Raw genomic sequence first — 21842 nt, 5'->3', positions numbered from 1 at the left:
TAGTCTTAGAAATTTGGTTTGATGTGCTTTCTCATTCTAATTCATTCTTTTTGTTTTTTTAAGAGATGAGGTCTTGCTGTGTTGTCCAGACTGGAAAACAGTGGCTATTCACAGGTGTGATCATAGCACACTACAGTCTCAAACTCCTGGGTTCAAGTGATCCTCCTGCCTTAACCTCCAGAGTAGCTGGGCCTATAGGCATGTGCCACTGTGCCCAGCTATTTAATTTTTTTTTTTTTTTTTTTGAGACGGACTCTCGCTCTGTTGCCCAGGCTGGAGTGTAGTGGCGCGATCTTGGCTCACTGCAAGCTCCGCCTCCCGGGTTCACGCCATTTTCCTGCCTCAGCCTCCTGAGTAGCTGGGACCACGGACGCCCACCACTACGCCTGGCTAATTGTTTGTATTTTTAGTAGAGACGGGGTTTCACTGTGTTAGCCAGGATGGTCTCGATCTCCTGATCTCGTGATCCGCCCGCCTCGGCCTCCTAAAGTGCTGGGATTACAGGCGTGAGCCATGGCGCCCGGTCTCCAGCTATTTAATTTTATTCTTGCACCTACTTTTGTGTCATAATTTTGCATTTTTTTCTTAAAGAAGTACATGCTTTTTCTTAAAGAAGTTTCTAAAAACTGAATATTCATTAGGTCCCACAAAATCTGGGTAAGTGTCTGAGTACTGCACTATCCTTTATTGATTTCTCTAAACCTGCCTGCAATTTTGTAAATAGTCATTTTATTAAACTCTTCTCAGTTTGCCCATGTCCTCTGTTTCTAGGACCATGACATTCAACAATGTTCATGTTGGTCATAATCTTTGTTCATCACTTATACAATAGATTCTCTTGTATGTATAAAGACATTCACAATAATAAAAAGGATATGTGATATATACATATATACATACATGTATACACATACCACCTGTGTGTGTGTGTGTGTGTGTGTGTGTGTGTGTGTGTAATGTCTATGCCAGTGCCATGTATAGATACTTAAGTAATTGTTAACAATACTTCCTGGAGAGAAACAAGGGAATAGGGGACAGAGATTAGATGAGGAATTATTTCATCATATTCCTCTTTCTTTCTTTTTTTTTTTTAATTTTTAATTTTTGTAGAGATGGAGGTCTTGTTATGCTGCCCAGGCTGGTCTCAAACTCCTGGGGTCAAGTGATCCTCCTGCCTCAGCCTCCCAAATTGTTGGGATTACAGACATAAGCCACTGTGCCCGGCCTGTATTGCCCTTTCTTGCCTAAACTTTTTCATGTTTATATATTTGTTTCTCAAATTAAATTTTGATTTCATTTTTGTTCAAACAGATTCACTAGGTACTTTTTGAGGGGGAGGAGTCAAAACTTAAGAGTTAGGTTTCATTCAAGATTAATCAGTATGGTTTATTTTCATGTTCTCATGACAGTGTTCCCATAGTTGGAGGACTTCTGGAACTGGTGAGCAGTCCATCAGGTAATGGGCATAAAAGTAGCACTTTTCACTTTATTCAGATCTTACCTTTGTTTGAAAATATTCTCTGAAGTGCTTCCTATGAGGACAGATTACATTATTAGAGGACTATGTTGATTTTTATTCACTTTGGGGGCACTCTCCAGAGTTCCACAGGAATTTCCAGACATGACATGAAATGCCCACATTTATTTCACAGATCTCCCCGGCCATATAGCTGAGCCTCAGTGTTGCACCATCAGGAAACAAGAACATGCGCGCTGGGAACCTGGAAATAGAAAATAGATCCCAGCCCCATCCAGCTGACTGAGACCAATGCCTGATTCCCCAGCAGGGCAACCTGCCAGAAGTAGAGTCTGTAGTCCTCAGTAACTCTCCTGCAGGGGTTCCCCTCACACACTCCACTTGTGCAGAAGACTAGAAAGATGGCCAGAAACATAAAAAACACATCACGCTGCAGAGCGGTCTGCCTCTTGGCCTGCTGGGATGGCAGCCCTGGCGCCAGGGAGGCAGCTGAGGTATGGAAAGTTATATTAGGAAGAGAGGAAAGGGAAATATAGCCCCACAAACCCAGAAAAGAAAGAATGGAGAAATGGGGCCTCCAAAGTTGAATTCCTGGCCGGGCATGGTAGCTCATGTCTGTAATCCCAGCACTTTGGCAGGCTGAGGCAGGCAGATCACCTGAGGTCGGCAGTTCGAGCCCAGCCTGACCAACATTGAGAAACCTCGTCTCTACTAAAAAAAAAAAATTAGCCGGGCATGGTGGTGCATGCCTGTAATCTCAGCTACTCGGGAGGCTGAGGCAGGAGAATCACTTGAACCCAGGAGGTAGAGGTTGTGGTGAGCTGAGATCGTGCCATTGCACTCCAGCCTGGGCAACAAGAGTGAAACTCCATCTCAAAAAAACAAAAACAAAAACAAAGTTGAATTCCTGGCATGGAGAAACCCCATCTCTACTAAAAATACAAAATTTAGCTGGGTGTGGTGGTAGGTGCCTGTAACCCTAGCTACTCAGGAGACTGAGACATGAGAATCGCTTGGAACCCGAGAGGTGGAGGCTGCAGTGAGCTGAGATCACACCACTGCACTCCAACCTGAGGGACAGAGCGAGATTCTGACTCAAAAAAAAAAAAAAAAAAAAAAGTTGAATTCCAACCAGGTGCAGTGGCTCACGCCTGTAATCCCAGCATTTTGGGAGGCCGAGGTGGGCAGATCACGAGGTCAGGAGATCGAGACCATGCTGGCTAACACAATGAAACCCCATCTCTACCAAAAATACAAAAAATTAGCCAGGCGCGGTGGCAGGTGCCTGTAGTCCCAGCTACTCAGGAGGCTGAGGCAGGAGAATGGCGTGAACCCGGGAGGTGGAGCTTGGAGTGAGCCGAGATCGCGCCACTGCACTCCAGCCTGGGTGAAAGTGCGAGACTCTGTCTCAAAGAAAAAAAAAAAAAAAGTTGAATTCCTTGGCTCTTACAGGCATGTGCCTGCAATGTATCTGCTTCAGTCACCCAGTGCCTCAGGAAAGCAAATGATTTCTGGAATATGGTAGCTGACGATACTTTCCTTTGGATGATTCAGTTTCTTCACTACACAAATGATTCCATCGTAGCCAGGAAAGCATGCAACCTTGTGACTTCCCTCCCCACCAACCAAAATACTTCCCCTTCTCCCTATGCCTCAAATTCTTTCAATAAGACAAAGCTTTTTATTCCACAATTAAGGACAAGGAGCCCCACTCTAGGAGCTGGAACATATTGGCTTAAATACACAGGAAGGTTGTTATGGGCTTCCCTTGGGAAAATCTCCCGTATGGGGCCTGAAGACCCTCTGACACTTCATTGTAAAAATTCTTTCTTCTTTTGGGAAGCAGATGGAGTTAACAGGCTGTAACATTTGTCTATTGTTCTTAAGCAAGGCACATACTAATCTCTTTGTCCTCTCTCAGAAGATAGGCTTTATATCTGCGTCAAGAGACAAGACCATCTACAAATACATTACTTTGTTTAGAATTTATGCTCACTCTTTGTTTCTATGAAATGAAACAAAGCATCCTGCCCCATAGTGACTCAAGTAGGTCAAGAGAATTGTGATTGAAAAACCCCAAGGGTCTTTAATTTCTTCCTGGAAGAAAGAAAAAAGCTCAACTCTGTGGCCCCCACCTCCTTTCCATCACCTTGGATGGCTTGCAAAGAACTTGTCTGTAGAAGAACAGGCCTTTATCTGCTCTCTAACTCCACAGAAGAACTACTAGTTCCTAGGCCAGAACCATGTTGATGACTAAAAGAATCTCAGCTTCAAAGAGTCATAAGGCCAGAGTGTGGTAAAGTCTAACACTGATTTGTTTTGGAGATGGAGTTTTGCTCTCCTTTCCCAGGCTGGAGTGCAGTGGCACAATCTCAGCTCACTGCAGCCTCCGCCTCCTGGGTTCAAGTGATTCTCCTGCCTCAGACTCCCGAGTAGCTGGGATTACAGGCACATGCCACCAAGCCTGGCTAATTTTTGTGCTTTTAGTAGAGACGGGGTTTTACCATGTTGCCCAGGCTGGTCTCGAACTCCTGACCTCAGGTGATCCGCCCGCCTTGGACTCCCAAAGTGCTAGGATTACAGGCGTGAGCCACCGTGCCTGGCCCCTAGCACTGATTTTTAAAAATAACTAATATTTATGTTTCTACAGCTTTATTGGGGTATAACTGACTTACAATAAATAACATATAGTTGAAATGTACAACTCGATAGGTTTTGACATACATATATGTAAACCAAAAAGTATCTGAGACAGGTCTCAATCAGTTTAGAGGTTTATTTTGCTGAGGTTGAATACACACCCAGGAAAAAGAGACACAAGCCACAGCAGGATCTGTGGCCCTTATTTTTTCTGCAGAGAATTTTGGGGGCTTCAATTTTAAAGGGGAAAAGTAGGCAGGAGGGGAAAGGGGAAAGAAAAAAAAGAGGAAGGGCATGGTCACATTCTTGTGAAGTCACATGTGCATGAAAAGGAAGGGGTAGGGGAAAAATCAATTATGTATTTGACTCACACTCAGTAAATCTGCTCTTTTACATAAGGTGAAGTAAACATAGAGTAGAAAAGCAGTCAAACATGCATTCAGCTCAGGATGGAAGGGGATTTCGAATCTCCTCTTTCCCCTCACTCCTCCACCCCCAAGTCCATGAAGATAAGCTGTTCATTTACATTGTCAAGGTGAGGGAGGCCCCCTGTGGCCTTCTATCTGTAGCTATCAGTTTAGGAACAAAGATAAAGGCAGTTTTGGGGTTTTTTTTCATGACTCAGCTTCCAAGCTTAACTTTTCCCTTTTGGCATCGTGAATTTGGGGTTCCATGATTTTATCTTCCTTTCACATATGCAACTATGAAACCATAACCACAATTAATATAGTGAAAATACCTCAAAAAGTTTCTTTGCTTTTGTAACACTTTCTTCCTGTTCTTTCACATCTCCTCATCCACCAGGAAACCACTAATCTGCTTTCTGTCACTATACGTTAGTTTGCGTTTCCTAGCATGTTATATAAATGAACTCATACAGTGCATACTCTTTTTCTGGTCTGGCCTCTTTTGCTCAGCATTAATTATTTGCGGATTCATCCATGTTGTTGAATGTATCAATTGTTCATTTCTTTTTATTGCTGGGTAGTATCCCATCAGCTGGATATACCGGTTTGTTTCACCTGTACATGGACATTTGGGTTGTTTCCAGTTTGGGGCTATTACCAATGAAGATTCTATGAACATTTATGCATAATTCTATATAGATGCATGTTTTTTCTCTTATACCTAAGAGTGAATGGCTGGATAAAATGGTAGGTTTATGTTTAACTTTCTAAGAAACTGACAAACTGTTTTCCAGAGTGGTTGTACTGTTTTATACTTTCCCCAGCAAGGTATAAGAGTTCAAGTTCCTCTACCTCCTCACCAACACCTGGTATGGTCAGTCTTTTTAATTTTAGCCATTCAGTAGTTATGGTTTTAATTTGCATTTTCCTAATGACTAATGATGCTGAGCATCTTCTTATATGCTTCATATGCTTATTTGTCACCCATGTTTGTTTGATTCTTTTGCTTATTTTTTTAATTGTGTTGTTTTCTTATTATTGAGCCTTTTGTTCTTTTTTTTTTCTTCTTTTTTTTTGAGATGGAGTCTTGCACTGTTGCCCAAGCTGGAATGCAGTGGCGCAATCTCCACTCACTGCAACCTCCACCTCCCGGGTTCAAGCGATTCTCCTGCCTCAGTCTCCAAAGTAGCTGGGATTACAGGCACCTGCCACCACACCCGGCTGATTTTTTGTATTTTTAGTAGAGATGGGGTTTCACTATGTTGGCCAGGGTGGTCTTGAACTCCTGACCTCGTGATCCTCCTGTTTCGGCCTCCCAAAGTGCTGGTATTACAGGTGTGAGCCACCGCACCAGTCCTTTTTCCTTTTTCTTTTGGAGATGGAGTCTCACTCTATTGCCAGGCTGGAGTGCAGTGGCACCATCTCAGCTCACTGCAACCTCTACGTCCTGGGTACAAGCAATTCTCATGCCTCAGCCTCCCGAGTAGCTGAGATTTCAGGCACATGCCATCATGGCCAGCTAATTTTTGTATTTTTAGTAGAGATGATTCTTCTGCTCCAGCCTCCCAAGTAACTGGGACTACAGGCACCCACCACCACACCCGGCTCATTTTTGTATTTTTAGTAGAGATGGGGTTTCACCATGTTGGACAGGCTGGTCTTGAACTGATGACCTCAAGTGATCCGCCTGTCTCAGCCTCCCAAAGTGTTAGATTACAGGCGTGAGCCACGGCGCCAGGCCACAGAATTTTATAATTACATAACTCCACTTTTCCCTCCCAGCACTTAGGCTACTGTTTTCTTTATGCATATGTTGTAATCCCCACAACACATTGTTATTATTTTTGTTTAAACAGTCAATATATTTTAAAGATATTCAAATTATAAGAGAAAAAGTCTTACGTATTTGTCCATGTAGTTATCATTTTTGTTGCTCTGAATTTTCTGTATAATCATATTTCCATCAGGTGTTATTTTCCTTCTGCCTGAAGGATTTCCTTTAACATTTCTTATATTGCAGATCTGTTAGTGATAAATTATTCCGGCTTTGGTATGTCTGAAAAAGTATTTATTCCACCTTCATCTTTAAAAAATATTTTTGCTGGGTATAAATTTCTAGGTAACAGTTTGTTTTTTCCTTCAGTAGCTTAAAGATGTTGCTCCACTGTCTTATCACCTGTATCATTGTTTCCTATGAGGAGTCTTCTGTCATCCTTATCTTTGGTCTTCTGTATATAATGTGTCTTTTCTTCTCTGGCTACTTTTAGTATTATCTCTTCATCACTAATTTTGAGCAGTTTGATTCTGATGTGCCTTAGTGTACTCATTTTCTTCATATTTTTGTGCTTAGGATTTATTGACTTTCTTGGACCTGTAGGTTTTTAGTTTTCATCAAAACCAGAAAATTTTCAGCTATTATTCCTTTGAATAGCTTTTCTGTCCCTCCCGCTACTTTAGGGACAACAATTACATATAAATCAAACTGCTTAAAGTTTTCCTACAGCTCACTGATGCTCTTTTCATTCTTGTTTTTAATTCTCTTTTCTCTTTGTGTTTTATTTTTGGATCAGTTCTATTGCTATGTCTTCAGATTCACTAATCTTTTCTTTTGCCATTAATCTCATCAGTGTAATTTTAATCTCAGATATTATAGTTTTTATCTCTAGAAATCTGATTTATGGTTTTAAAATAGTTCCTGTCTCTCCTTAACTTTTCAAATATCTGGAATATAATAATAACTACTATTTTAATATCCTTGTTACTAATTCCTATATCTGTGTTAGTTTTTTTTATCAGTTTCAACTAGTTTATTTTCCTCTTCCTTATTGGTTATATTTTCCTGTTTCTTTGCATGCCTGGCGAGTTTTTTTAATGCATAATATTGTGAATTTTAATCTATTGGGTGCAGGATATTTTTGTATTCTTATAAATATACCTGATCTTTGTTCTGGGATGCAATTAAATTATTCGGAAACATTGAACATTTTGCATCTTGCTTTTAAGATTCATGAGGTGGTTGTTTTTGGAGCTAAAAATTAAAACAATTGAACTCATGGAAATAGAGAATAGAATGATGGTTCCCAGAGGCTGGGAAGGGTAGTTTGGAGGAGTAGGGGGCAAGTGGGGATGATTAATGTGTATTAAAAAATTGAAAGAATGAATAAGATCTAGTATTTGACAGCAAATAGGATGACTTCGGGAAGCTGAGGCAGGCAGATCACTTGAGCTCAGGAGTTTAAGACCAGCCTGGGCAACATGATGAGACCCTGTCTCTACAAAAAATACAAAAATTAGCAGGACATTGGCTGGGCGCGGTGGCTCACCCCTCTAATCCCAGCACTTTGGGAGGCCGAGGCGGGTGGATCACCTGAGGTTGGGAGTTTGCGACCAGCCTGGCCAACATAGAGAAAACCTGTGTCTACTAAAAATACAAAATTAGCTGGGCTTGGTGGTGCACGCCTGTAATCCCAGCTACTCAGGAGGCTGAGGCAGGAGAATCGCTTGAACCTGGGAGGCAGAGGTTGTAGTGAGCCGAGATCACACCATTGTACTCCAGCCTGGGCAACAAGAGCGAAACTCCGTCTCAAAAACAAAACAAAACAACAACAACAAAAATTAGCTAGGCATGGTGGTTCACGCCTGTAATCCCAGCTACTCAGGAGGCTTGGGTAGGAGGATCACTTGAGCCTGGGAAGCAGAGGTTGCAGTGAGCCAAGATCACACCACTGCACTCCAGCCTGGGTGATAAAGTGAGATGAGATCTTGTGTCACACACACACACACACACACACACACACACACACACACACATTTTTTTTTTTTTGAGACAGAGTCGCGCTCTGTCGCCCCAGGCTGGAATGCAGTGGTGCGATCTCGGCTCACTGCAACTTCTGCCTCCCCGGTTCAAGTGATTCTCTTGCCTCAGCCTCCCAAGTATCTGGGACTATAGGCACCCGCCACCATGCCCAGCTAATTTTTTGTATTTTTAGTAGAGATGGGGTTTCACCATGTTAGCCAGGATGGTCTCGATCTCTTGACCTTGAGATCCGCCCACCTCAGACTCCCAAAGTGCTGGGATTACAGGCGTGAGCCACTGCACCCGGCCAAGATAGTATTTAAAAAAAAATGAAAGTATGTTCAATTCCAGAGAGAGGAGGCAAATTCAAAATTCAAAGTGGGAAAGACTGTTAAGAGCACATCTCTGGAGAAGGGAATTTAGCAAGAGAAAGAGGGAGACACAGCAAATATATTGTAGGAAAATTTAAACTTTCCCTCTGAAGGTTCAATAATTGAGTCATCCTGCCAAAATAAACAGACAATAGACAGATTGACAGGAGAAAAAGCATACAAGTTCATTAACATGCACGTGGACATGGTAGTCCCACAAATATGAGACTCAAAGGCCCGGTAGCTGAAGCTTAGATAGCACCAATTTCATAGGGAAGAGAGAAATGGGAAATGTAGGCAGTTATGAAGGGCAGAAGTTATTTTCAAGGGAAATGAATGAGTCCAAAAAACAGACAATGGCTTGGGACAAAGTTCCTCTGAGCTCTGGGGGAGGTGGCAGGAAGATGAGGGGTGGAACTTCACTGTGAACAAAGGTTGTCTTATTACATAGATAAAGTCTCCCAGGTATTCTCTCAGAGTGCCCTCAGAAGAATAGATGAAGAGTCTGTGTGGGCATGATGACTTTTAGTCTTTTCTCTTCTCTAGTGGTTCATCTTTTCTGGTCTTAGGACAATTGCATTTTTTTTTTTTTTTTTTTTTTTTTTTTGAGACAGCGTCTTCCTCTGTCACCCAGGCTGGAGTGCAGTTGTGCGATCTTGGCTCACTGCAACCTCCACCTCCTGGGTTCAAGTGATTCTCCTGCCTCAGCCTCCTGAGTAGCTAGGATTACAGGTACACAGCACCACGCCCAGCTAATTTTTGTATTTTTAGTAGAGATGCAGTTTCACCATGTTGGCCAGGCTGGTCTCGAACTCCTGACCTCATGATCTGCCCGCCTCAGCCTCCCAAAGTGCTGGGATTACAGGCATGAGCCACCGCGCCAGGCCTGACAATTACATTTCTTTTGGAAGAAGTTTTCCTCAGATAAGGGAATATCCAGAGAGAGCCTCTCCCTGCACTTGAGGGGAGGAGACAAGAGAAGGTTAGAAAGTCCTTGGTTCTGAGGCAGCTTCTAGCTTCTAAGGCTTTCCAATTTCTTTTAATTCAAAAGTGCTCAGCAAGCTGAAGCTTTATACTTTGGGGCATCATTCTCCATGCCCCAACCATGTCATGCCACTGCAGGGAGGTTCCTAATCACTAAGTCTGGCTTTTGCCCATTTTATCAAGAACAGTCTCTTGACCCAGGAAGGCTTGTTCAATATTGGGATGCCACATGGCTATACTTCCCAAAGAGAGCAAGTGTTCATTCAAGGCAGTTACGATAACAATTCTCAGGGAAAATAGTGGAAGGGAAACAATGTAGGAACAAGTTATTTTAACACTGTGACTTGCTATTAGAGAGTATCGCTACATATTTAGGGAATTCCCCACATTATGGGTTCCCACCCCATCACTGCAAAAGCCAGACACTCATTGTTCCAGCCTCCTTTGTAGCTGTAACACACACACGTGATCTGGGATTCATCTATCAGATCCACCAGTACCAGAATCCAAAGCTTGTATACAAGTAGCAGGCGCTGGCTGAATCCATTCTGGTAAGGTGGAAAAGCGACATTCCAGTTTACAGAGGCGGCAATGCCAAGGCTCCTACAGTCCTGTCCAGTGCCTGATGTTGGGAGTATTAGCAGGACCTTGGGTGGTACAAGTGAAGTCTTCCTGAATCAGCAGTGTGAAGTGTAATTTTATGAATTTCCTGGCTCTGTTTCCTCTGAGACTAGTTTTCTGGTCCCCTTGAAGAGTCTGCATGTGTCCTAATATTCTTTAATACAAGAATTGGCAAACTTTTTCTGTAAAGGGTTAGCTAGTTGCTATGGACTGAGCTGAGTCTGCCCAAAATTCATATGTTGACACTCTAACTCTAATTTGATGGTATTTGAGGATGGGGCCTTTGGTAGGCAATTTGGTTTAGATGAGGTTATGAGGGTGGGGCCCTTATGATGGAATTAGTGCCCTTATAAGAAGAAACAACAGAGTTTGCTATCTCTCTCTGTCTTTGCTGTGCAGGGCACAGCAGAAAGGCAGTCATCTGCAACCCAAGGAGAGAGCCCTCACCAGAAACCAACTATGCTGACATCTTGATCTTATACTTCCAGTCTCCAGAACTGTGAAAAATATATATTTCTGTTGTTTAAGCCACCTAGTCTATGTTATTTTATTAATAACATAGACTACTAAGCCAACTAAGCCATTAATAAATAAGCCTTATAATAAATAAGCCATTAATAAATAAGCTTATAATAAATAAGCCTTAGCCAACTAAGACATTAATAAATATTTTAGGCTTCGTAGGCCATATATGAGAATCTTCATTGTAGTTACTCAATCCTGCCACTATAGCATGAAAGCAACAAGAGACAGTACTTAAGCAAGCGAGTGTGACTGTGCTCCAATAACATTTTATTTATGGATACTGAAATGTGAATTTCATATACTTTTCATGGGTCATGAATATCCATCTTTTAAAATGTTCTTTGTCCAACTATTTAATTATGTAAAAATTATTGTTAGCTTGTGGGCCATACAAAAATAAATGCCAGGTCACATTTGCTGACTTCTGCAAAAACATGCCTTTTCTGCTTAAATGACCTACTGTTGGCTTCTGATTTGCAGCTAAGAACCCTGACTAATACATTTAGTCTATGCCTGTTTTGGGAGAAGGTTATTCTTAAGCCACTGAGAAAGGCAAACACTCATTCTGCTTTTCTTCAACTGCCAGAGAAGAATTTTTTACATAAACCTCCATGGGTCACCTGCTGCAATTTTTAGCAACTCATAGGCTCCTTGAACTGTCTGATATAACCCCAGAATCTCCTCACAAGGAAAGATTTGAAATATATAGTTTTTGTTCCTCTCCTATAGATTACCTTGCTCTGGAGAGCCAATGTTCATCTGAGTGAGCTATTTGTTTCGTTGTCACCTGAACCACATGACTGTGGATAGATACAGCTCAGCGGCCATAGCTGTAGCTCAGTCTTTCTGTAACTGACGGGAAAGATATGTGAAATAAGACACATAGACATGGCAATAAAATGAAGTAGGCTGCAAGATGAAAGCAGGTCATTCCCTGGACTCTTTTGTAAGGTGGATTTAGGAAACTGTACCACACCATTCTGGAAGTTCGCACTTACCAAAGTCAATGACATTTAGACTCTGTCCCTTTTTACCCAGGCACTTCATTACAAGACCCAGGCTCTGTTTGCATTTTCAAATAGAGTACCTTGGCTAATAAAAATATGGTGCTTAGCAACAGAAATGCATTACAACTATATTTAGCCAAAGCAAAGCTGTCTAGAAATGTACTGGACAATATGATTGACACAACTGGCAATTCCTCCTGTCCTTTACTGACAGTATCACCTGGTTTATATTCTGATGTGAAAAGAGTCTCATCAGTCTGAGATGATTCGATTTTTCAGGGCAGCAATGAGAAGGCAGAGGCTGAGGTAGACAAGGAGGCTTCTCTTTGGTTATGTTTATAATTTGTAGAATTCTCTCCACCTTTGAATATTTGATCCCCAATTTCACTTTCAAAATTACAATAATCAATCAAAAGAGAAAGCAAAGGCTGGGCATGGTGGTTCACGCCTATAATCCCAGCTCTTTGGGAGGCTAAGGTATGTGGATTGCTTGAGCCCAGGAGTTCAAGACCAGCCTGAGCAACCTGGCAAAACCCCATCTCTATAAAAAATACAAAAATTAGTCAAGTGGCTGGGCTTGATGGCTCACGCCTGTAATCCCAGCACTTTGGGAGGCCGAGGTGGGCAGATCACCTGAAGTCAGGAGTTTGAGACCAGCCTGGCCAACATGGTGAAACCCTGCCTCTACTAAAAATACAAAAAAATGAGCCAGGCATAGTGGTGCACACCTGTAGTCCCAGCTACCTGGGAGGCTGAGGCAGGAGAATTGCTTGAAGCCAGGAGGCGGAGGTTGCAGTGAGCTGAGATTGTGCCATCGCACTCCAGCCTCAACAGCAAGAGCAAGACTTCGTCTCAAAAAAAGAAAAAAAGAAAGAAAGAAAAAAATTAGTCAAGTGTGGTGGCACATGCACCTGTAGTCCCAGCTACTCAAGAGGCTGAGGTAGGTGGATCGCTTGGGCCCGGGAGGTGGAGGTTGCAGTGAGTTGTGATCGCACCACTGCACTCCAGCCTGGGTGACAGAACGAGACTCTGTCTCAAAACAAAACAAAACAAAAAACGTACACACAAAGAGAGAGAAGTCAGTGTTATTTGGGGACCTGGAAGAAGGTCCCTGAGATTGAGAGGAAAAAGGGGGCTCCCAAACATAAACAGTAATAAGTCATGTTAATAGTATGTACCATTGATATGATATGAAGAAAGCGGCATTTTGCCTCTGTGGTCCTCCTCCCCAAAACCCATAACCTTATATAATCATGAGAAAAACTTTACACAAATCTCAGTTGAAGAACATCCCACAAAATGCCTGACCAGTACTCCTCAAATGGTCCTCACAAACGAGGAAAGACTGAGGAACTGTTACAGCCAAGGAGACATGACAGCTAAGCGTAATGTGCTGTCCTGGACGGGATTCTGGAATAGAAAAAGGACATTAGGAAAAAAACTGAGGAAATCTGAATGAACTCTGGACTTCTGTTGATAATAGCATCAATATTGGTTCATTAATTGTAGCAAATGTACTATTCTAATGTAAGATGTTAGCAATTGGGGCATACAAGAACTCTCTGTACTATCTTTACAAAAATTCTGTAAATCAAAAACTGATTTAAAATAATAAGCTTATTAGAAAGAAAAAAAGTGGACCTTTCCTTTTGGCTAGACTTACTCCCCAGTCTTCCACAAACAACCAGATATTCACTCTGCACTGAGCTCAATCTGCGATCCATTGTCTGCGCCTGGGTAATAAAGGACATAAGTGATCAACCAAACATTTTTTTAACCAAATCTAGATAAAGATTGGAATTAAAATAGCGTACACAAAAGAATAACTTTCCAAAGCATTTTGTTATTTGTCGATGCGAATAGAACATAATCTGTGAGAAACTCCAAGACTGAATTCGACCTTTTATTTTTAACACAACAGCTGAACTCTCAGTGGTTGCCTGTAATAACTACCATCATTGCCTATAGACAGCACCTCTTCCAAATTAAGAAACGTTCCTTGAAGTTCTCATTAAATGCACATTACTGTTTGGGGTTTGATATCCTGGGAGTGATGATTGTTCAGGTTACTCTGTACAGAGCTGAATTCTTATATGAAGCAGAAGCATTATGAGGAATCTGAAATGGATTCTGCACAACAGGTTTGTTTTAAGTGTGTTATTCAGTACAAATATCTCCTTTGGGAATTTTACCAGAGAAAGTAAAATTATGACTGATTACGACTCTCTGTGATTTTAGCAGTAATTTCTCCTCTTAAAATAACCTCACACAGGTCATTCTTAAACAGAGAAAAAGTGATGAGTGATTATCTTTTCACTGCCCCTCACAATTGGTCACACTCTAAGCTGGCTGATAGAAGAAGGAGGAATCTCTTGGTTTGTCTCTTTAGCAGTAAAAAAGCACGGGACTCAAAAGCCTTTTTCTGCTGCTTCCAGGTCCTGTTTTTGAGATTTGGAAGCTGCATCAGGTCATTTTGATGACCTTTCTGAGCCTTTTTTTTTTTGAGACGGAGTCTCTCTCTGTCGCCCAGCCTGGAGTGCAGTGGTGGGATCTCCGCTCACTGCAAGCTCTGCCTCCCGGGTTCACGCCATTCTCCTGCCTCAGCCTCCCGAGTAGCCTGGACTACAGGTGCCCGCCACGACGTCCGGCTAATTTTTTTGTATTTTTAGTAGAAACGGGGTTTCACCATATTAGCCAGGATGGTCTCGATTTCCTGACCTCGTGATCCGCCCTCCTCGGCCTCCCAAAGTGCTGGAATTACAGGTGTGAGCCACTGCGCCCGGCCGACCTTTCTGATCTTTATATGAATTGAGTTCTGATCATGCATCTTTCTCTCTGCTTTTCTTTTGCCTGCATGATAAAGATTTACAATGGAGGCTGCGCGTGGTGGCTCACCGCCTGTAATCCCAGCACTTTGGGAGGCCAAGGCAGGTAGATCACCTGAGATCAAGAGTTTGAGACCAGCCTGGCCAACATGGTGAAACCCCATCTCTACTAAAAATACAAAAATTAGCTAGGAATGGTGGTGGGCAGCTGTAATCCCGGTTACTCGGGAGGCTGAGCCGGGAGAATCTATTGAACCTGGGAGGCAGAGGTTGCAGTGAGCCAAGATCGAGCCACTGACTCCAGCCTGGGTGACAACAGTGAGACTCCATCTCCAAAAAAAAAAAAAAAAAGATTTATGAAGGCAAGAAGAGAAAGATCACAGGACTGGATATCAAGATCCCTAGCTTTGCCATTAAATGAGTTTTGTCACCTGGACAGGGCACTTTGGCTCTCTGTGCCTCATTTTCCTAAGCTGTAAAATTAGATTCCTAATACTTGCTCCAGTTTCACTGTTACTAAGAAGATCAATGATCCCAACAGATGTCGACAAGATCTTGCTCTGTCACTCAGACTGGAGTGTGGTGGTGCAGTCATAGCTCACTGAGGTCTCCAACTCCTGGGCCCAATCTATCCTCCTGCTTCAGCCTCCTGAGTAGCTGGGACCACAGGCCCACACCAACACACATGGCTTTTTTTTTTTTTAAGTTGAGACAGAGTTTGTTTTGATGCCCAGGCTGGTCTTGAACTTCTGGGCTCAAGCCATCCTCCCACCTCATTCCCAAAGTGCTAGAATTATAGGCATGAGGTACTGCACCCAGCCTAAAATTTAAAATGCAGCCCAAAGTCATATTTGAATCCTTAAAGGGAACTACTCAGGATTTCAAAGTGCCCTTCAGGCCCCCTAAAATAGCATTTTACTTGTGACCAAGGTGTCAGAAGCTATAATTTGGTCACAAGTTACACATGACAGAAACTACTTCTGGCTGATTTAAGAAGAAAAAAAAAACAACAGGATTCTCTGCAGTATCTATGTCCTGTGTCACTGGTTCAAAGTCGAAGGCAGATATTTCTAATTGGCTTTGCCCACATTGTATAACACCACCTTCCAGTAAGGGAGCTGGGAAATGAAGATCTGGCATTTTCTGCTTCTGAAGTGGGAAGTAGGCACTTTTTCCCACTAAGACTCATAAAGTAGGATTCCCCAAACATAGGAAGAAGTTTCAGATGCTGAGTAGTACCCCAAGAATAATAAATATCTCTTATGTGGAATTTTTAGTTGGGTGGGGGACTACCTAATATTGGAGAAACTGCAAATATAAATCCAACACAATTGGCGTCTACCCTGGGTGTGTTTCTGGCACTCCTATCTGTGACCCCTTATCCATTCTATAACCTATTTCTATGAACTTAGTTTTCTCAAACTTTGTGAAATTTGCTTCTGCTAGCCAACTCTGAGGCTCACTTCTGACTCCCAGCTAAGTCACAACACTTTTCCCATAATTTCCAACTTGGGGCACAACTCAGAACTGAAACTATAAGAGAAAAATAAGACACACAGCAATGTTGACCTCTACCATACTCTGTGAAATTAGCAAATAGCTTGTTTTTTAGGTAGGATATCAGTAGCCCAAATTATTAGAATGGAATGTGTTTTTATATGTACTCTTAAAGTTATTCTTTCAAATTTTGGAAATGTTGCTTCTTATTATCAGAAATATTCCCTAAACAGTTTGTGCAAGCATTCTCCTGATGGTGCCTGTGAGTGCCAATGACATTTTTAAAAGCTTCTTTTCACTTTTGTATTTGATGAATGTAGAACTTAAGCACTGATCTGAAGATGAGAAAGGCCTTTTCATATCAAAGTTTCTAAAGAATGCCCCCAAATGATCAAGATGCTTGTCAGGGTATTGAGGCAAAGTGACTTGCGGGGTGGCGGAGTTGGGGGGTGGATATTCAAAATGAAGGCGGCAGGGAGGTTGGAGGCCTCCTTATTACCCAGTGGATTTGCCAGCTCTCTTTGCTTTTAGGCAGCAAGGACAGACTATGAGGTATGTGCTGCAAAAGTTATTTTCAGAGCTGTAAAGATTTAATCATTTCACTGTTTTTAACCAGAGGAACCTTGTATTTCTTCTACTACATTGGAACAAATTTTAAAAGGAAAGGACACAGGCAGTCCCTGACTTAGGGTAATGGACTCAAAGCACTTACTCACTCCTTCCCTGCCCATGCTATCATTACTGCCGTTCGACAGACTGCACACAGATGAACTCTCATTCGTGCACTCTGCAAATACTTGTAAAGTACCTGTTTTGTGACCAGTACTGTGTGAGGCAGGCAGGAATCTGACATGAAGCCAGTAAAGCTTCAGCTTCAAAGACCCTCAGTGTCATGTGCCTCTTCCAAGAAGGCACCTAGCGATATATTTATGTGGTCATATGTTTTTGCAAAATTTGCAGAGGTAAGATACTCTAACCACAATTGATTAAGATTACTATCTCTTTCCACTTTGACTTCCTCTTTACTTCAGTTCTCCCTTGTGTCTAGTGGCATTGGAGATTCACAGTCATTTTGAGATTCCTCTAAGGTAATTTGGGCTAGGAATACATTTATTTGGGCTTTAGTGGGATACGTTTATGTGTTTGGGCAGCCATTTCTGTAAATAGTTAAGCTATGCTGGCCATCCCAGCTTAGGAATGGCTGGTAGGAATACTTGTACTCTTCAACATGACAAGTCATCTGATGTTGTGACCTGATGGTGCAGGGCATTGATGATACACTGGTTAATAGGAGTATGGTCAATACAAAGAACAGTTAAGTTTAGTCACTGTGTCATAATTTGAAATGCCCTGAAATGTTATAACCCATCTATGTAAGACACTTGGTAGAGGTTTCCAAAATTTGATAGCATTTGTAAAAATTTACATGACTTAGCAATAATGAATTGGGGAACTGAAATAAGCTTTTCTAGGAAATATTAGAAAACATGTTGATCAACCATGCTAGAGAAAAGCATGAACGACCTTTCTATTCAATATAGGAAATGATCTTATAAATTATTGTCATATGAAAGAGGTAATCGAAGGCTGGGCCCAGCGGCTCATGCCTGTAATCCCAGGACTTTGGGAGGATGAGGCGGGTGGATCGCCTGAGGTCAAGAGTTCGAGACCAGCATGACCAACATGGTGAAACCCCGTCTGTATTTAAAATGCAAAATTATCTGGGTGTGGTGGTGCACACCTGTAATCCCAGCTACTTGGGAGGCTGAGGCAGGAGAATCACTTGAACTCAGAAAGCAGAGGTTGCAGTGAGCTGAGACCAAGCCATTGCACTCCAGCCTGGGCAACAAGAGTGAAACTCTGTCTCAGAAAAAAAAAAAAAAATAGGAAGAAAAGAAAAAGAAAGAGGTAATCGAAGAAGACAAGCCAAAAAAGTAGGAAAAATATAGAGATGTGTCAGGCAGTTAATAAAGAAAAACATTTCATTTTCATAGATGTTGTGTTTATTAGCTTTTTATACTTGTAATTGGTTGTGATTTCTTCATACCTAATTTTGTATTCTTTTGAAAAATCCTTCCTTCCCCAAACTATGTAAGCTTCAGGCCTGCAGAACCTGGATTTCCCCCTGGTATGTGAATGAAGTTGCATTAAGGCCCATGTTAGTCTTCCATGTGCTCACAGTCTAATAGAACAGACAGACAAGGAAACAAGCAGTTCAACATAGTGTGACAAGTGCTACAATGTGGCATCATCTAACCAACTGGGGAAAAATTGATCCTAACCTTGCATATATCCATGTGTGGGTTTTTTCTGACACCAAATGTGTGGTGTTGAAACTGCCTTTGCAAAATTATGACTGAGATAGCAAAAGAGATCTAACCTAATTGACTCCATCTTCCTTCTAACCTCCAAGCTGTCCTTGTCCATTCCTGGACATGGGCTGAACTAACTTTGGGAGGAACTTAATTTATAGTTTAAAACAAAGATGATAACAGCCCTTTCCCAAAACAAACCTCCTTCTTGCCTGGGGACTAGACCGCCTTTGTAGGACTAAGAAATTAGTCACAAGATTAGAAATTATGATTTAGGAGTCATGCATCTGGAGGCTACAAGATTCTGACTTTCCCTGAACTGCTCCTAAGATCACTGCCTGAGATATTTTGCAGACTCTGCACTTGATGGATCAGCTGGCACCACCCAGTTCGATAAACTGGCTCATTTGATCTTGTGCCCCCTCCTCACCAGGAACTGACTCAGCACAAGAAGACAGCTTCAACTCCCTAAGATTTCATCTCTGACTTCACCAATCAGCACTCCCAGCTCACTGGCTTCCCCCCGTCCACTAAGTTGTCCTTAAAAACTCTGATCCCCGAATACCCAAATGCTCAGGAAGACTGATTTGAGTAATAATAAAACTCTGGTCTCCCACACAGCCGGCTCTGTGTGAATTACACTTTCTCTGTTACAATGCCCCTGTCTTTAGAAATCAGCTCTGTCTAGGCAGTGGGCAAAGTGAAACCATTGGGTGGTTACAGTGTCTTTTCCAACACATTGTTCCAACATCCATTCACCAGTTATCTCCCACCAACTGGGTGTTCTTCAATTCCATTCAACTCTGATGCTAACTACCCAGAGTTAGTGCAAACCCCACAGGTTAAAGTCATGGTCCCACAAGACTGCCCCCACTTCAGATGCCAGGTAGAATTCCTGGGTTTCTAGGCTACTCACACTTCTATCCTATTTGGCTGCAAATTTGGGGGTTCGCATCACCCTCCCTCATGTTTGATAATTTGTTAGAACAAATTGCAGAACTGAGGGAAGCACCTTGCTTGTGATTACTGGTTTATTATAAAGGATGCAACTCAGGAACAGCCACATGTAAGAGATGCATAGGGCAAGGCTGCGGGAGAAAGGAAGTGGAGAGCTTCTGAAACTGTCCTTGTACAATCACCCAACGGGTGCTTCCAGCTTGCGGCACAGACAAAACAATTCACTGAGACCATGGTATTGCAGTAAAGAAAGAGCTTAATTAACCCAAGACAGCCAAGCAGAAGGACGGATGTTATCACTCAAATCAATCTCTCCAAGAACTCAGGGGCTAGGGTTTTTATGGATAGTTTGGCAGGCAGGGGCTAAGGAATGGGTGCTGCTGATTGGTTGGGGAATAAAAGCATAAGAGTGTGGAAAACAGTCCCTATGTGCTGAGTCTGCCTCTGGGTGGGGCTACAGGATTGGTTGAGTCATAAGTCACCAGTCCAGTTGGAATTAATCAGTTGCCTGAATGCAAAAGTCTGAAAAACATCTCAAAAGACCAATCTTAGGTTCCACAACAGGGATGTTTCCTACAGGAGCAATTGGGGAAGTCACAAGATTTGTGACCTCTGGCCACATGACTCCTGAGCAGTAAGAGATTAGAGAAATTATGCCTGCATTTTGGCAGAAGTCAGGCCCCTCCCATTACAAAGGCAGTTTCAGTCCCTGAACAAACAAGGGATCAGTTTCAGGGAGGGACTCTTCTCATTCTTGCTTTAAACTATGAACTATATTCCTCGCAGTTACCTTGGCCTATCCCCAGGAATGAGCAAAGACAGCCAGCCTGTGAGACTAGAAGCAAGATGGAGTCAGCCATGTTAGATTTCTCTCACTGTCATAATCTTTGCAAAGGAGGTTTCAATCACAGAGTTGACAAGAATTTCATGCCAGGTTCTGGACAGAAATATAGTTATAATTAAGCATGAGGCTTAATTATAGGCTGCATTTTGGCCTACTTACTTGTAACTGAAAGTCACATAGCACTGGATACTGACCATTTGCATCCACATTGTTTCTATAGATGGGATTTCGGATGTTGGAATCATGAGGCTTTTGTTTAAGAGTTGCTTAAGATGTTCTTCAGATCCTGAATTCCAGCAGAACAGCTGACATCCACAACCAGTTTGAGGATCCCCACAGAAGAGCTGAATCAACATGAGAATGCAGTTTCTTCATCTCTCCAGTCCATGACTTCACCCTGCAATCCCCACAGAAGAGCTGAATCAACATGAGAATGCAGTTTCTTCATCTCTCCAGTCCATGACTTCACCCTGCAATCCCCACACCTCAGCCCACTCCAAACCCCTTACAAACTCCTCAGGGAGGCAAATCTGAGGTTTCCTTCCATCTCCTTGTTCAGATGCCCTATGATTATTAAACCCTTTCTCTGCTGCAATCCTTGAGGTCAGTGTGTCCACTTGCCATGCTTTAGGTAAGGAACCTGTTACAGTCACACTTCCATGTCCTCTTCCACGGTGCCACTCTCCCACCACATCAATGTTACCAACCCAGAAGCTCTCTAAATTTCACTGTTCAAGAGTATTTATCAAAGCTTTGTTTTGTAGGTGTGTTTGATCAAATCATTGGCCATTGGTGATTGAGCTCAATCTCCAGCCTTTCTCCCCTCCCGGGAGGTTGGAGGGTGGGGTTAAATGTTCAACCCTCTGATCCCATGTTTGGTCTTTCTGGGGACCAGTCCCCAACCTAAATCTATCTAAGGCCACCCTGAGTCACCTCATTAACATAAACTCTAGTATGGTCAAAAGGAGCTCATTATGAATAACAAAAGATACACCTATCACTCAAGAAATTCTAATAATTTAGGAGCTCTGTGCCAGGAACTGGAGGCAAATAAAGACCAACTATATTATACCACAACTCAACACCATTAATTTGATTTATAAAGCTATGAAGTTAGACAGTGAGACAAACTTTCCTGAACCATGTACGCAAAGACCACCCCCAAAATTTCCCCCAAAGTTACTTCCCGAAGAAGCTTTGTCAAAATTTCCATTAGAAGTTATTTTCGGCCAGATGCAGTGGCTCATGCCTGTAATCCCAGCAATTTGGGAGGCCGAGGCAGGCAGATCATGAGGTCAGGACTTCAAGACCAGCGTGACCAACATGGTGAAACCCTGTCTCTACTAAAAATACAAAAATTAGCCGGGCGTGGTGGCGCATGCCTGTAATCCCAGCTACTCGGGAGGCTGAGGCAGGAGAATCGCTTGAACCTGGGAGGCGGAGGTTGCAGTGAGCCGAGACTGTGCCATCACACTCCAGCCTGGGCAACAGAGCGAGACTCCATCTCAAAGAAAAAAAAAGTTATTTTCAGTTCCTTGGCCCAAGATTCCTTGCAGCAATCCTTTCATTTTTGCTTTGC

The 21842-nt window shown here is 42.5% G+C and overlaps 1 long non-coding RNA gene across 1 annotated transcript, besides 1 other annotated feature; it reads left to right on the top strand.

Annotated features, from left to right (window-relative positions):
• The first annotated feature begins 570 nt into the window (after window positions 1-570).
• Window positions 571-20858, top strand: LOC107983995 (uncharacterized). The gene is made up of 3 exons (XR_923576.2): window positions 571-657; window positions 1410-1456; window positions 20484-20858. It is a non-coding gene; the product is annotated as an uncharacterized LOC107983995 (long non-coding RNA).
• Window positions 19989-21188: an enhancer, noted in NCBI's record as "P300/CBP strongly-dependent group 1 enhancer chr2:172100813-172102012 (GRCh37/hg19 assembly coordinates)". NCBI's record gives its function as "activates an origin of replication core promoter dependent on BRD2, BRD4, P300/CBP, MED14 and CDK7 cofactors, with strong dependence on P300/CBP, by STARR-seq in HCT116 cells {active_cell/tissue: HCT116}" and the evidence as "EXISTENCE:reporter gene assay evidence [ECO:0000049][PMID:35650434]".

This window comes from Homo sapiens, chromosome 2 (genome assembly GCF_000001405.40).
Source record: "Homo sapiens chromosome 2, GRCh38.p14 Primary Assembly".
Classification (NCBI taxonomy): Eukaryota; Metazoa; Chordata; class Mammalia; order Primates; family Hominidae; genus Homo; species Homo sapiens.
The sequence above is the reverse complement of the archived record's forward strand: the minus strand, read 5'-3'. Positions and strand labels throughout refer to the sequence as shown.